This window comes from Homo sapiens, chromosome 3 (assembly GCF_000001405.40).
Source record: "Homo sapiens chromosome 3, GRCh38.p14 Primary Assembly".
Taxonomy (NCBI): Eukaryota; Metazoa; Chordata; class Mammalia; order Primates; family Hominidae; genus Homo; species Homo sapiens.
In genome coordinates this window covers 58,850,404-58,867,536 of record NC_000003.12, presented here as the reverse complement: position 1 = coordinate 58,867,536, position 17,133 = coordinate 58,850,404, and the positions used below count along the sequence as shown (strand labels likewise).

Genomic DNA, 17,133 nt, shown 5'->3' with positions numbered 1-17,133 from the left:
GGCCCAAATGTGATAGAAGTTCCCACTAGCAGACTTTACTAAAATGGAACTTTATTGTAATTTTTATGTTTCATTTGTGTCTTTTTAAATTGAGCTCTTTTCAGATTGTTGTTTATATTTGCTGTCTCTCCCTTTGGATTATTCACCATATGTTATACTCTAGGTTAAAATTTAAACTCTTTGCAACTGGTAAAGCATTAGACAAATACGTGGCCATTATAGTTATTCCCTTAAATATTGGATTCGAGGCATGTATATGTAGATTAGTATACACATATATCAGTCTATCCTGAATCCCACCCAGTGTATCATGTACACATCTGTTAGCCTAATTTCTCAAAAATGTAAGATTCCTGGGTTGGCTGAAATTTAGCCTGCTAGGTTTCATGCTTTTTATAAAAGAGTAGATAGAAAAATTAATTTTGCAATAATGCCTTAAGATCCATTTTCTTAACATGCTGATGAAAAAAGCTTGGCCAAAAAGAGTCCCATTTAGTAAGAATTATAATTTAAAGAAAACTCACTTCATTTCATGTGGAACCCAAGGGAAAAAATATAAGATCCTTTAAAAATTTTATGGGTTTTGGCATTCTTTTTATCACATATTGCAAAACTTTAATCTAAAATATCCCTGTGTAAGTATCAAAGAATTTTAAGGTGAACCTCTATAAAAATGCAGCTTAAAACAGTCTACTGAAAAAAAAAACTGCATGTAATTCATATTGTTACCTCTAATTTGCTTTTAAATGATCAAATAGTAAAGTATACCAAAGTAAACCATTCTTCTAAAATTACTTTTTATAAATTTCAAAAGAAGTAATAGAGGGAAAATATTTATCTCAATAAAGGTAGCTCTTCAGGAAATAATAGGATTGAAGATAAAGCATCAACTATCCTCACCACTGTGTCCCAACAAGGAGCAGAGCTGTTGAACTCCGGCACTCTAGGACCCCAGTCTCCTGATCAATCAGGTTGGCATCTTTATTACACCATATCTGTTAATAATGAATAAAATGTAAATATGGTAAATATTTCAAATCCAGTCATTTTGAAAAGTGGTGATGCAGCCGATTTGCTAAAATGTGTAAGTTTGTGTAAATCTTCTTATTTAACCTCAATTTTATGTCAAACTTTAATGGATGAAAGAGTATTTTTTTATTTTCAAGTTTTAATGCACTGGTCATCCTGTTCAGAATGAAAGTTTAAAACTGACATTTTCCCATGGCATGGTCACCCTCCCCAAAGATGACCAGTTGTTGGGTTTCTCCAGTCCTCTTTATAATGGAGATGGTTGGAGCTGAGAGCATTGAGCCCATCAACATATCTTGCCTAGCAGGTGTGTGCTACTTTTACAAAGGCAAATTGTTTTTGAGCAAGGGAAAAAAGAAAATAAATGAAAATTGTTTGTGGTTTGTCAATCTTATTTATGCAACGTTGAAACCTTCATTAAAATGTTAGGTGCAATTAGTGTCTCTAGCATAAATCTGACTGTGTGGAAAAACTAATTAGATGTTTAGGTGATCATTCTTGCATTTATCTTGTTTGCTGCAATATTGTGATTACACAGTAATTTACATATTTTTCTAAGAAAACACACCAAATTATTCATTACAATTGATATGGAAATACTTGAGGTAAAACTGCAAATTCCATAAAAAGCATGTGGCAGTGAGATAATTAGAGTTAGTTTGGTGTAAAACACTCCTTTTACTTTGACTTTTTGACAGTTGATAATATGTTTGGCAATAGGTCATACAAATTGTTTAAGTGCATAATGAAGATTCTCAGTATATTTTCCTCTGTTTTCTTCACATATCCATATACATAATGCAACCTATTGACTTTTGTAACATTTCTCAGCATTTGTAAAGCACCTAATTTGCTTACAAAGCACTGTCATGTACCCAGCACCATGCAAAAGGGTTTGCTGTCCAAAATAGGGGAGCCCAGTGAATCCGTTGAGTTCACTGGCCCAAAGCTACAGTGACTCAGGACCATATGCCCCTGCACCCCTCTGTGAAGGTGGTCAGAAGAACTAGACTCAGCCTGCCATTGGCCATATGCCTACAGACTCATGTCCCTCAATATATGAAAGCCTTGTCCCTAGTAGGTTTTCTCTAGGAAGTATACATTGATCACCCTTTTTACAGGTAAGTTATGTTATGTAATGGTAGCCGTAAGTTAAGAAACAGATAAAGGCAATTGTGTTTTATTTGTACCATCAAAGTTATTTTTATTAAAGATTTTTATGGGTTCTTTTGCTTTTGCTTTTGCATTGTAGGCTTTAGAGTTGCAAATCTTAGATCTCTCTTGGTTACTTTTATTGTGATCATAAATATAATATGATTCAAGAATCAGGTGTAAAATTACCATGTCCACACTGTGATTCTGCAAGATTTTACCAATGAAATAAGCTGCAAAAAAAAAAAAAGCAAATTTAAAAAAAAAAGACTACATTGAGAAAATGCTCACCTTTTTCCTACTGTCATTCTAAAGAAGAAAGCATGCTTTCAACGATATCATTATAAAGATCTGTCTTTTTCAATTCATCAGGATCATAGAGCTATAAACTCTATCTCAATGTGATATGAAAGATTGAAGTCTTTAAAAGTTTTGAAAAAATATATATTTCCCTGTAGTGTATGGTATTTTAAAGAAAACAATAATGTGCTAAAAGGTTTTTATATCAAAACATTGTCTCTTGTAAACTTAAAGACCTTTTTCACCCAGCAGAATCCACTGCTTGGATTAGCAAATATTTCTGTGAATTTACTATTACTTGAAAAGTCTGCTTGGTTTAGTCTGTGAATTGTCCTGTTTGAATCAGTAGAATAGAGAGGAAATGACTGCCAACCTTGTCATGGCTTCCTCTCCTCCATGATTTGTAATCTGAATTAAGACCAGATATTTTTTTAAAGAAGCTGGTTAAGTACTCTGTCCTCCTGCAGTTAAAAGGAGATATTAGTAACTCAACCCCTTTTAAATTTGGAAGACTTTCCCCCTCTGGAATGTCAAATTAATAAGGTTGTCCTGTAAAGAACTTGCTGCAAGACAGGTGATAATTATTTCAGACTTACAAATTTCCTGGTCAGTGTTTCAACTCAAATGGAGAGGAAGTGCAAATGAGTTGCCCATAGCTATAGGCACTGATGTATGGGTTGAGTGTTTAGCAGGTTACAAGATGGTCTATAAATTGCCTTCCTTTGCTTTGCGTTATTTGATAAATCTGTTTCAACAACAAGAAATTTTAGCCTAACTACCTGCCTAAAATAACACTTTTGGCCAGGCGCGGTGGCTCATGCCTGTAATCCCAGCTTTTTGGGAGGCCGAGGCGGGCAGATCATGAAGTCAGGAGTTCAAGACCAGCCTGACCAACATGGTGAAACCCCATCTCTACTAAAAATACAAAAATTAGCCGGGCATGATGGCGTGCACCTGTAATCCCACCTACTCAGGAGGCTCAGGCAGGAGAATCACTTGAAGGTTGGGAGGCGGAGGTTGCAGTGAGCCGAGATCGCGTGACTGCACTGCAGCCTAGGCGGCAGAGTGAGACTGTCTCAAAAACTAAAACTAAAAATAAATAAATAAAAATAACACTTTTATGGATTACTGCTCTAATTTTTGTCATCTTTTCCAACTGTCAGATGAGTGGATTTTTCCTGAAAATGCTGATCACATTTCATATCTGGCATCCAGCAGACAGTCTCTACTTCTGGGTGATGACTCCTGCAACCCATCACACCTGTGGCTGGAAGCCAGCAAAGAGAGTGAACACGACCAGCAGGCAGAGGAATCCCAGAGTGTTCCAAAGGACATTTTCACTTTTTCATCAAGACCACGATCAGCACCTCATGGAAAGACTCAGACTATGTCCCCAGAGGAGCTCTCATTTATTTTGGATCTAAAAGAGGATAACAGTGTGACAAGCAGAGACACCCAATCAGAGGATGATTTTTACGGCGGCGACAGCAGTGAAGAGGTACACTGCTTGATAAGTGAAGTAGTCTTGAAGCACAGTTGTTTCCTTAGCTCCAATAAGCACTAAAACAAGTTGAAATGAAAGAGGGAAAATCAACTGCTATTTATAAAAATGCAACAGATTGCCATGTCAGTCCACAGTTGCATCAGGTTGTTATGGTAACTTTAAACTGTCTTTTTTTTTTTTTAATTAACAGTCAGCCAATTTCACTTTTACTTATAGAAACCAGTTTTGGGTTTCTTTCTGTTTTTTCATTTTAATCTTTGAATCACAGGATGAGAAACGATATGCAGTTTAGTGCTATGATAGCAAGACCAGTAAAACACTGAGAATATACTGTTCTAGATCTCTGGAGAAATTGTGTTGCAGTTGCTAAGCATTCTAAATTGATGGTTTTCTGGCTTCCTTACTCCCCTGCCATCTTTTCACCTTAGACCTATTAGGACTCATTATTTTCCATATGGTCCCAGAATTTGAAGAGTTGTGCCAATTAAAGTTTAGATAATGAGTCGTGGATTAGTGCTGGGACTTGCCTTACAGGAGATTTTCTGTTTGCAATTATTTAGAATATGGATATATCCTATAAATTAGCAAATTCGTAAAAAGTTTTAAAATGTTTCAAATCAAACTGAATATAATTTGGAAATATTTGTTTAAAACCTAATACATTGATAACTTTTTCCCCATAGGAAGTGCATTTAGTCGTGGATTTTCTTCAGCATTATTTTTAACGATGGTCATTCATACTTTCTGGAAAAATTTATTCTAAAAGCAGAATACGAACAACTTTAGGGTTAGTGAAAATGTACAAAGCTTTTCTATATAGAAATTATAGAAATAACTAGAAAACCTTTTTATATGTGCCCACAAAATATTTTTATAACGTAACTGATTAAGAATCCTTTTTGGACAGTGAGGCACAGATTAAGTCCATAGCACCAACCTTCGGAGGCAGTTGAGAATATAGTGGGATTGTTTAAGCAGTAATTCTGGGTTTTTTCAACTTTTAATGAGTTTCTTCAGCAAAGCGCGTAGAGGATCGTCTTTTCACAATATTCTTGCTTCTGAGTGTCATGAAACAATTAGTCATACCAAACATAACCTACTGCAAATCCTTTTATACATAAATAGTGCATTTGATGCTAGCATTTTAAGTGTTGCTGCTGGACACATTTGTTCCTTTCACCTTTAATAACATAAAGCTATAAAAACATGGACATTTGTCTTCAGCACCTAATAGTGTCCTCATCCCAGCTGATAATCCTTCCATGGTCTAAACTGGCTGATTAATTCAGTTCATTTTATGAATAGAATAGACTCATCCCCTTCCCATATGCACAGCACAATCTCTCTTACTAATGCAAAAGCATTACTCTAATAGTGGGCATTTCATGGTAGGTGGGAAATGGTAGTTCTCTGGAAAACTATGAGAGAAGTATTATGGATAATCTGCCCTTTAAATACACCACATGAAGAACTTACCTCTTCCATCTATAGGAAGGCTAAGCCTTTAGAAGAAACAGTAGAGCTTCATGGGAAAATGAAGAATACTAGCTCTGAATATTTTAATTTGATATCACTTAATGCTTTCTTTTGCTGTAGCTACTCTGCCTCTGACATCCTTCAACGTTTATTATGCAGATGTGTATTTGTTACCAACTACATAAAATTGAAAACAAATTTATCATGCATTACCCAAGCTTTCACTGGCAGGGCTATCTGGTCACCCCTGTGCCATGCCCATCAAGGTGACCAGTAGCATACGGCTAGAGTCTGTGGTGAGACCATCCCATTGCCAACACTGGCACTCACCACCCTTTAATCAGAGCCTACTAAGAGTGGCAGCCAGAGAGAGGGGAAACACCTGCCACATTATCAAGCTTTGGGGTTTGCTGGTACAGAGACTAACGAGATACAAGCTAAGATACAAAAATAGGACCAACAAAAATGCTAGGCTATATTTAAACAAGTTTTAGCATGTGTAATGATACCTTCTTAACAAAATTGGATTTTTTCTTTTGTACTTTTGGTAATTTCTTTTCCTGTAGGATAGCTTCTTCTATTTATTAATTGTATAAATCAATGGGAAATTAGGCTACATATTTACAATGTTTATTTACATATAGTCTTTGAAGAAAAATCAGTTTAGTTAATTAAGGCATCCTTACTATTAATTGCATTATTTTAGAATGTTACATCCTTATCTTTGTATAATTATACTTCAGGAAAACATAATGTCAAGTTGTAAATAATGGTGGACAAGTGAATAACAATTATATTATTATGCTTGAAGTTTATAAAGTGTAATTAAAAGACTTTATTTGATGTTAGCCCATTGAGTATTTTTAAAGGAAAATGAGATGTATTTAGTAACATATAAACTAGGCAAAATCAAATCATATTATTAGGATAGAAGACAAGTACCCATACAACAGTAAAAGCTAATTAAAATTAGCTTTCAGCAATACATTGTCATTGTAATTGAAGTTGCTAATCATTAATTCACATCTGAGATCTTAGTGTTGGAGCCTCAAAAGTATGAATTTTTTGCATATAACCTTACCTTACTCTTTGCTTTATCATATATTTTATTCCGTAGGCAGCCATATATACTAATATTTCTGGTACTCTATTAATTTTGAAGTTGTTCTTATTTGAAAAATATACTACAGAAACAATATTTCCTAGTGAGCTATAAAATCAAGACTACCATGTAAAATGAATTTTTTAGGAAAGCTATTAAAATAGAGTGCTTTTCATATTATTGCAACATCTGAAAGAAACGAAAGCATGCAACTGTTATTGTCTCTATTTTGTATTTTATGTTATTATTCCCATCGTGGCTTCTAGTGTATACACCTGGTTTTGCAGCTTGAAATCATTAGCCTTATGTTAATATTTTATTATTCCCCTAATTCAAGTTTTCACCTAGAAATACTACCATTTTTTCCCTGAATTCTGGTTGTGTATCACATATTGAAGCAGATATTTGCAAGGCCAAGTAATTTGTCTTGTGTAACAGTCCAAATTGGAACATTTGGACCCCCGAATTTATTCATATTTGGACATGAATTATGTGGACTGACTACCTGTAGTGTTCAGATTAGCCGGAAGGCTTTTGTATCTTCTCTCCTTCTAACTCTATGGAAGCCTGCAAAGGATAAATATACAAACAGCAGATTAAAATGACCATTTTCGTCCACCCTCCCAGCTTTCTTGTCATTGCTTTCAAGAGTTTTTTTTAGCAGTCAGTAGTTAAGCTATTTCATTTTAAATACTTTTTGTTAGCATATATTTCTGGATTATACTATAAACACTCACCCCTACATACTTGAGTAATGATTTTTTTTTCTTTTTTCTTTCTTTTTTTTTTTTTTTTTTTGAGATGGAGTTTTGCCCTGTAGCCAGGCTGGAGTGCAGTGGTGGGATCTCTGCTCATTGCAACCTCCGACTCCCTGGTTCAAGCAATTCTCCTGCTTAAGCCTCCCAAGTAGCTGGGATTACAGGTACACACCACCACGCCTGGCTAATTTTTGTATTTTTAGTAGAGACGGGGTTTCACCATGTTGGCCAGGATGGTCTCGATCTCCTGACCTCGTGATCTGCCTGCCTCGGCTTCCGAAAGTGCTGGGATTACAGGCATGAGCCATCGCGCCTGGCCAAGTAATGATTTTTAATTGCTTTCTCACACACACTTACATACACACGGTGGAAAGGAATATTTAGTTGACAGTAGTCTTCTTATATTTCTATGTAGCCTTCAGATACTTTTAAATTTAGTTTATGTGTTGGGAAAAAATGAAAAGACTCTATTTTGAATATACTGCCTTGCATTTTTATTCCTATGTATTATGAATTAGAACATAACATATTCTGTATACCTACCAGGCAAATTAATGTTTACTCAGTATGAGTAATCTTTTTAGGCTGTTCACATCTACATGTCTTTATTATTATCTATTGAAGCTCTTCTCTGAAAAAGTCACAGGTCTCTTGGTCCTTGTGACTTGGCTTTGTATTGTTATAGGCAGATGAAGAAAGTTACAAAATGCTTGTCTATTTGCAATCTAATATTCTACCATTTTTGCTAAATGATAGACATCTTGCAGATAAGCATTTGCTTGTAGATAGTTTTCACAAGAAATCTTTAAAGTGTTGTCAGTTAAAAGAACATGAAGTCTAACTTATAGAAAAATATGTTTTGCCTTGAAAAATTAGAAAAGCCTAATCACTTTGCCAAAATATTCATATGATGATTGTGCCCTTCCCACACAGTACCTGTAACTTATGCTATGATTTGTCTGTAAAGTATCATTTGCTATAGGTAAAGATGTCATGAAAGTAATTTGGCCAAACCTTTTTAATATCAGGCATGCTGCAGGTTAGTTACTTGTTTAAAACTGTGGTATCTTCCTTTTATTTTATTTGTTTACAAACTCGTAAAATGTATTATAAGACACAACTATCACTTATCTTTGTCACCCAGAGGAAATTGTATTACTTTCATCATTTGCTACAAAATTCAAGTAGAAGCACAAGTACTTCTTGGGATGGTTGTTATGAAAACTTTTAAGATACATTTGAATTGCCAGTCTTGTTATCATCAAAGAAGAAATTATTTTTTTCATTCTGTTAGGACTGTCTTTAGCTGAATTTGTGCAAATAACTGTGCTCTTTAGTCAACAACAGAAGTATACATATACTAGCTCTGTTGTTTGCTAGTGCTGATGTTCAACTAAAAGGTGCTGTCAATCCACACACTTAGTTACTAACATGATGGACAAAACTAAAAACTCCTGTTGACTCAATCTCAATTACAAATTCAAAACTACCATCAAAAGTGTATTTTGAATATTGCAGATGTGTTTTTTTACAGAATTTTTAAGACTTTTACATAAGATTTTTTTCATGGTGGATTGAATTTAAAACTCCATTGAAATATGAATAAATATTATCATCCACTTTTACAAAGGCTAAATAGAGTTCTATTCTGATTCACTCAACATTAAAGTTGTGGTACAAAGAGCCTGGGTCCCATCTGCTCCAAGTAGGTGGCCCTCAAGAGTCATTAAAATTATCTGTTTAAAATTACAACTCAGCAAGAGCAATCCATTTTGTGTAGCCAGAAATTATTGTCTAAATGCCCATCTGCATGTCCTTTTAAGAAATGTAGTTCAGCAGAGGAAGTGCTGGCTCCTTGGGGAAATCATTCTCATCTTCGGCATACATATGCTGTGCTACAGTTAATCAGGCAAACTCTATTGATGTTCCTGGCACTGGGGCGTGACTGAATATTTAACAAACAAATGTTTCTGAGCCCAGAAGACAAACGGTTCAAGAGATTTGGGACTTTAAAAAAACATATTAAGTTAAATCAAAAGCATTTTGTATTTGTTCTTCTGAGAAACAGATGAACAAATGATTGGAATGTGAAAATGGCATGACAACTTCTTTGCTACTCTGACAAATTATATTCAATTGCTGTACAGGTTTTCAGTAGCTAAATGATAAACTAAAAGGAGAAAGGTGGTTATTTTTCAACCAGGTCATGATACACTAACTTCTCATGCACATAATAAATTTATATGTTATATAGAAAAAAATTCATCCCAGAACATGTTGAGCCCAAATGAATTACATACGTGAAATCAATAAACATCATCTCTACCTTATTAAAGAGGCAAAAGCATGCCTCTTCTTCTCATAACAATGCAAAGAGAGGAATAGGGTTATGCCAGTGCACCCACTCCTAATAAATACTGTACTTTTTTTAATTCTCCATTTATTTCTTCTCTAAATGAGAAGCTGACCCAATGCAAATTAGAACACTACTCAAATATAGTCTCCTATGTCATCTTGCCTTTCTCATTCATCCCAGTTTCTCTTTCAGAATCTGAAACCAGAATTAGCAGTTCTAGGGCAGCCAAGGCAAACAAGCCTTTGTACCCTGTCCAGATTCTCCAGTTATTTATTCTTTCCATATATTTAAAATAGCATGGAAATGTATTACTGTGGAAATGCAGTGCAACCAGGAGAATGCTCATCAGGGTACACAGCTAAATCCATCTGCTTCTCGGCTGATCTCCAAACCAGAGTATTCCTTAGGAAAAATGTAAGATGAATGTCCATGTACATACTCATGAATATGTCTATGTATATAATCAACTGCTCATGCCAAGCAAAGAGAAATGCTTTCCACCTGAGTAAACTGCTAGAAGGAAGAAAAGGCTGTACTCTGACCCATCACAGGTGGAAAAATACACTTCTTACCAAATGCATTGATTTTAAGGTGTTTTCTGAATGATGTGACAAACATCTAGTTTTCCATGCAGCCCTCTAAATTCCCAAAATAGTACATCTGAAATTCCTAAAATGACATTTACTATCTTCTACCTTATGATGTTATCACTTTTTAGGTATCATTTCTCTGTTAGACTTTATATGTCTTGAAGGAGTGGCCCTGTCCTTACCTGTGTATCTTGTATAGTGTCTAGAAATTGCCTCACACAGAGTAGGAGCTTAATAAACATCTATTGCATTAATGTTTACTGAAAACACCTCCAGTTTCTACCTACGTCATATACAGAATAACAAGTCTTCATTTTTTATGATGGAAATGAATGAGTAGAGGATCTTTTGATCACAGAAATCCCACTGCCAATTGTGTATGACAATTACAGGAAAATAAACTGCAATATTTTAAAAAATTAGAGAAAAGATAGCCCTGTCTCGCTACCAGACTAAATTAAAAAACATCTATGCTAGTTCTACCAATACCATCTTAGAACTAGGACTTGGGGAATGTTTACTCTATTTTTTGTTTACCATCTTCTCTAGACAAAGACTAAGCTTTTATTCTTTATCTCTATGAAAAAAAAATTGCAAGAGTCACCACTCTATTACCTAGTGATTTAGAACACTGGGCATTTTTTCAGATAGCTCTGACAGTCTTTCGAGTTTTCTGCCTGAAGGCAGAGTTCTTCAACCATATGAACATCCTAGGGTGCCCAGACTGGTGGGGAAGGACAAGCTCACCCCATAAGTGGCCTACAGCAGAGAGGGTTGCCCAGTGCCTGCAGCTGAGGTCATGCAGGGATTGTTACATTTGCAAAAATATTTTCGCCTGTCTTATTTTTTCACTTGGGCCACAAAGTAACGGCCCACAGATTGGCACCCAATCTTAAAGAAACATCTTTTCTTTACCCTATCTGGAACACTGAAAGATAAGTATCTCCATCAGTTATGTGTGTGTGTGTGTGTGTGTGTGTGTGTGTGTGTGTGTGTGTGTGTGTCAGAAGATGAAGCTAGTGTAGACAAAGACAATGTATGCCCAGGATGAATACCAAGAAGAAATATTTATAAAAGATCCTTAACAATGCAGTTCTCATCCTTAGTGTACTGGAGGTACACTATTTGTTAGGAGAGGGGTTTTTTTTTAGTATTATTGATTATTTTAATTTACTCCTTTAGCTATTTCAGTATTATATTTTTAACTGGAAAATCTCTACTTTATTTTGAAGTTTTTTTTCCTACAGTCATTCCTTTTTTTCTTTCTTTTTTTTATTTTTTTTTATTATACTTTAAGTTTTAGGGTACATGTGCACATTGTGCAGGTTAGTTACATATGTATACATGTGCCATGCTGGTGCGCTGCACCCACTAACTCATCATCTAGCATTAGGTATATCTCCCAATGCTATCCCTCCCCCCTCCCCCCACCCCACAATAGTCCCCAGACTGTGATGTTCCCCTTTCTGTGTCCATGTGTTCTCATTGTTCATTTCCCACCTATGAGTGAGAATATGTGGTGTTTAGTTTTTTCTTCTTGTGATAGTTTACTGAGAATGATGATTTCCAATTTCATCCATGTCCCTACAAAGGACATGAACTCATCATTTTTTATGGCTGCATAGTATTCCATGGTGTATCTGTGCCACATTTTCTTAATCCATTCTATCATTGTTGGACATTTGGGTTGGTTCCAAGTCTTTGCTATTGTGAATAATGCCGCAATAAACATGTGTGCACGTGTCTTTATAGCAGCATGATTTATAGTCCTTTGGGTATATACCCAGTAATGGGATGGCTGGGTCAAATGGTATTTCTAGTTCTAGATCCCTGAGGAATCGCCACACTGACTTCCACAGTGGTTGAACTAGTTTACAGTCCCAGCAACAGTGTAAAAGTGTTCCTATTTCTCCACATCCTCTCCAGCACCTGTTGTTTCCTGACTTTTTAATGATCGCCATTCTAACTGGGGTGAGATGGTATCTCATTGTGGTTCTGAGTTGCATTTCTCTGATGGCCAGTGATGGTGAGCATTTTTTCATGTGTTTTTTGGCTGCATTAATGTCTTCTTTTGAGAAGTGTCTGTTCATGTCCTTCACCCACTTTTTGATGGGGTTGTTTGTTTTTTTCTGGTAAATTTGTTTGAGTTCATTGTAGATTCTGGATATTAGCCCTTTGTCAGATGAGTAGGTTGCGAAAATTTTCTCCCATTTTGTAGGTTGCCTGTTCACTCTGATGGTAGTTTCTTTTGCTGTGCAGAAGCTCTTTAGTTTAATTAGATCCCATTTGTCAATTTTGGCTTTTGTTGCCATTGCTTTTGGTGTTTTAGACATGAAGTCCTTGCCCATGCCTATGTCCTGAATGGTAATGCCTAGGTTTTCTTCTAGGGTTTTTATGGTTTTAGGTCTAACGTTTAAGTCTTTAATCCATCTTGAATTGATTTTTGTATAAGGTGTAAGGAAGGGATCCAGTTTCAGCTTTCTACATATGGCTAGCCAGTTTTCCCAGCACCATTTATTAAATAGAGAATCCTTTCCCCATTGCTTGTTTTTCTCAGGTTTGTCAAAGATCAGATAGTTGTAGATATGTGGCATTATTTCTGAGGGCTCTATTCTGTTCCATTGATCTATATCTCTGTTTTGGTACCAGTACCATGCTGTTTTGGTTACTGTAGCCTTGTAGTATAGTTTGAACTCAGGTAGCCTGATGCCTCCAGCTTTGTTCTTTTGGCTCAGGATTGACTTGGCAATGTGGGCTCTTTTTTGGTGCCATATGAACTTTAAAGTAGTTTTTTCCAATTCTGTGAAGAAAGTCATTGGTAGCTTGATGGGGATGGCATTGAATCTGTAAATTACCTTGGGCAGTATGGCCATTTTCACGATATTGATTCTTCCTACCCATGAGCATGGAATGTTCTTCCATTTGTTTGTATCCTCTTTTATTTCCTTGAGCAGTGGTTTGTAGTTCTCCTTGAAGAGGTCCTTCACATCCCTTGTAAGTTGGATTCCTAGGTATTTTCTTCTCTTTGAAGCAATTGTGAATGGGAGTTCACTCATGATTTGGCTCTCTGTTTGTCTGTTGTTGGTGTATCAGAATGCTTGTGATTTTTGTACATTGATTTTGTATCCTGAGACTTTGCTGAAGTTGTTCATCAGCTTAAGGAGATTTTGGGCTGAGACAATGGGGTTTTCTAGATATACAATCATGTCGTCTGCAAACAGGGACAATTTGACTTCCTCTTTTCCTGATTGAATACCCTTTATTTCCTTCTCCTGCCTCATTGCCCTGGCCAGAACTTCCAACACTATGTTGAATAGGAGTGGTGAGAGAGGGCATCCCTGTCTTGTGCCAGTTTTCAAAGGGAATGCTTCCAGTTTTTGCCCATTCAGTATGATATTGGCTGTGGGTTTGTCATAGATAGCTCTTATTATTTTGAAATATGTCCCATCAATACCTAATTTATTGAGAGTTCTTAGCATGAAGCGTTGTTGAATTTTGTCTAAGGCCTTTTCTGCATCTATTGAGATAATCATGTGGTTTTTGTCTTTGGTTCTGTTTATGTGCTGGATTACATTTATTGATTTGTGTATATTGAACCAGCCTTGCATCCCAGGGATGAAGCCCACTTGATCATGGTGGATAAGCATTTTGATGTGCTGCTGGATTCGGTTTGCCAGTATTTTATTGAGGATTTTTGCATCAATGTTCATCAAGGATATTGGTCTAAAATTCTCTTTTTTGGTTGTGTCTCTGCCCAGCTTTGGTATCAGGATGATGCTGGCCTCATAAAATGATTTAGGGAGGATTCCCTCTTTTTCTATTGATTGGAATAGTTTCAGAAGGAATGGTACCAGTTCTTCCTTGTACCTCTGGTAGAATTCGGCTGTGAGTCCATCTGGTCCTGGACTCTTTTTGGTTGGTAAGCTATTGATTATTGCCACAATTTCAGAGCCTGTTATTGGTCTATTCAGAGATTCAACTTCTTCCTGGTTTAGTCTTGGGAGAGTGTATGTGTCGAGAAATTTATCCATTTCTTCTAGATTTTCTAGTTTATTTGCGTAGAGGTGTTTGTAGTATTCTCTGATGGTAGTTTGTATTTCTGTGGGATCAGTGGTGATATCCCCTTCATCATTTCTTATTGTGTCTATTTGATTCTTCTCTCTTTTCTTCTTTATTAGTCTTGCTAGCGGTCTATCAATTTTGTTGATCCTTTCAAAAAACCAGCTCCTGGATTCATTAATTTTTGAAGGGTTTTTTGTGTTTCTATTTCCTTGAGTTCTGCTCTGATTTTAGTTATTTCTTGCCTTCTGCTAGCTTTCGTATGTGTTTACTCTTGCTTTTCTAGTTCTTTTAATTGTGATGTTAGGGTGTCAATTTTGGATCTTTCCTGCTTTCTCTTGTGGGCATTTAGTGCTATAAATTTCCCTCTACACACTGCTTTGAATGCATCCCAGAGATTCTGGTATGTTGTGTCTTTGTTCTCGTTGGTTTCAAAGAACATCTTTATTTCTCCCTTCATTTCGTTATGTACCCAGTAGTCATTCAGGAGCAGGTTGTTCAGTTTCCATGTAGTTGAGCGGTTTTGAGTGAGATTCTTAATCCTGAGTTCTAGTTTGATTGCACTGTGGTCTGAGAGATAGTTTGTTATAATTTCTGTTCTTTTACATTTGCTGAGGAGAGCTTTACTTCCAAGTATGTGGTCAATTTTGGAATAGGTGTGGTGCTGAAAAAAATGTGTATTCTGTTGATTTGGGGTGGAGAGTTCTGTAGATGTCTATTAGGTCCGCTTGGTGCAGAGCTGAGTTCAATTCCTGGGTATCCTTGTTGACTTTCTGTCTCGTTGATCTGTCTAATGTTGACAGTGGGGTGTTAAAGTCTCTCATTATTAATGTGTGGGAGTCTAAGTCTCTTTGTAGGTCACTCAGGACTTGCTTTATGAATCTGGGTGCTCCTGTATTGGTTGCATATATATTTAGGATAGTTAGCTCTTCTAACTATCACCTGCAGACAAGAGCAGAGCTTTCAATGGAAATTTTAAACAAGTGGGATCAAGATCCTGAAGCATTTCCTTGAAGAATTGTCACAGGAGAAGAAACATGGCTTTACCACTATGATCCTGAAGACAAAGCACAATCAGAGCAATGGCTACTAAGAGGTTGGAGTGGCCCAGTCAAAGCAAAAGTGGACCAGTCAGCAGCAAAGGTCATGGCAATGGTTTTGGGCATTGGTCAAGGCATTTTGCTGTTGACTTTCTGGAGGGTGAAAGAACAAGAACATCTGCTTATTATAAGAGTGGTTTGAGAAAGTTAGCCAAAGCTTTCGCTGAAAAACACCCACAAAAGCTTCCCCACAGTCTTTCTCCACCACGACAATGCTCCTACTCACTTCTCTCATCAAAAAGTTCAAATTTGCAAGAGTTTTGTTGGGAAATCATTAGGTATCCACCTTATAACCCTGGTTTGACTCCTTCTGACTCCTTTTTGTTTTATAATCTTAAAAATCTTTAAGAGGCATGTTTTTTTTTCAGTTAGTAATATAAAAAAAGAGTACATCGACGTGGTTATATTCCCAGGATCCTCAGTTTCTTAGGGATGGACTAAATGGCTGACATCCTGGCTTACAAAAGTGTCTTGAACTTGGTGGAGCTTATGTTGAGAAATAAAGTTTATATTTTTTGTTTTTATCTTTTAATTTCCTGGAGCTTTTTGAAGTCCAACTTTGGACCTTTCTTGAGAGCACAGTTGTCTGCTAATCTCAACTACATTTCACAAAAAGAAAAAATTATAACAGGGCATGGGTTAAGGATCTCATACTCTGTGTAAGAGACTGCAAGAATTACTCAGTATGATATACTCTGCCTTTGACATACTGACTTGAACTCTCAAACCAGTCCAGCTTCTATATCATCACTGCCATTGCCTTAATTCAGGCACCTCAACAATCCTAATAACAATACAATAGTCTACTGATTGGCCTCCAGTTCTACTGTCTCCACAAGCCAACCCAGACACTCCACAAACAGTATCCATAAACGTATACCCATGCCTTCTATTGTGTGTCATTGTGACATTCCCCTACTTCACACAATGACTCCTCTTTGCCTTCAGAATACAGTCCCTGGATGGCAGGGATTATGTTCTGGTCTATCATTACATTCCGAGAATCTGCAGCACCTAGATGTACTTGGCCCGTGATGAAGAAGAAAGGAAAACAGAAAAATGATAAGATAGATCCCCTCTAATTAAAAGCTTTTGTAGATCTCTCCCTTGTCCCCTGCCCAACTGAGAGCAAACCCTCTCACCTTTACCCATGCTTCACTTCTGAAAGGAAGATTTCACCGGAGACTGCCACCATTATGTTGAGTGTGTATGATGGTAAAACATTCAGGAAGAAATTGAACAGTTCAATCAGTCACCCAAATATTTGTTTTTAAAATGCCAACCCTTAGAAATAACTAGATTCTGGGTTCTGTGTGTCTATAAATTGAAGGGTGAAGGAATAGCTTACTGAAACTGAATGTCAAGATACGCATTGTCAGACACCAAATAATGTCTTCAAAATGGACTGTGCTTTTTTGTTTTTTCTCTATTCTAAGTTTATCATTTCACATCCATTTATTATATATTTTGTTTGGTTGGTTGGTTGGTTTTTTTTGTTGTTTTGTCTTTTTTTTTTTTTTTTGAGATGGAGTTTTGCTGTTGTTGCCCAGGCTGGGGTGCAATGGCATGATCTTGCCTCACTGCAACCTCCGCCTCCCAGGTTCAAGCAATTCTCCTGCCTCAGTCTCCCGAGTAGCTGGGATTACAGGCAAGCATCACCACGCCCAGATAATTTTGTATTTTTTCAGTAGAGACAGGGTTTCTCCA

General features: G+C 36.5%; 1 protein-coding gene and 1 long non-coding RNA gene across 30 annotated transcripts in view; one reads left to right on the top strand and one right to left on the bottom strand.

Moving 5' to 3' along the window:
* The window catches only part of CFAP20DC (CFAP20 domain containing), a 333,853-nt gene that overhangs the window by 182,489 nt on the left and 134,231 nt on the right, over positions 1-17,133 (top strand). For 27 of the 29 annotated variants that reach the window (XR_001740051.3, XR_007095648.1, XR_001740054.3 and 24 more), the window contains 2 exons: positions 849-971; positions 3,645-3,979. Coding sequence is in view for 19 of the 29 variants with exons in the window: in NM_198463.4 (NP_940865.1) it covers positions 849-971; positions 3,645-3,979 (458 nt within the window). In the remaining 10 variants the exon portion in view is untranslated. Of the gene's footprint in view, positions 1-848; positions 972-3,644; positions 6,310-17,133 lie in introns of those variants that run through there. The other 2 variants (XR_940390.2, NR_147234.2) reach the window with 2 other exon arrangements.
* CFAP20DC-AS1 (CFAP20DC antisense RNA 1) overlaps positions 1-17,133 on the bottom strand; it is a 194,623-nt gene that overhangs the window by 151,557 nt on the left and 25,933 nt on the right. The window lies entirely within an intron of this gene.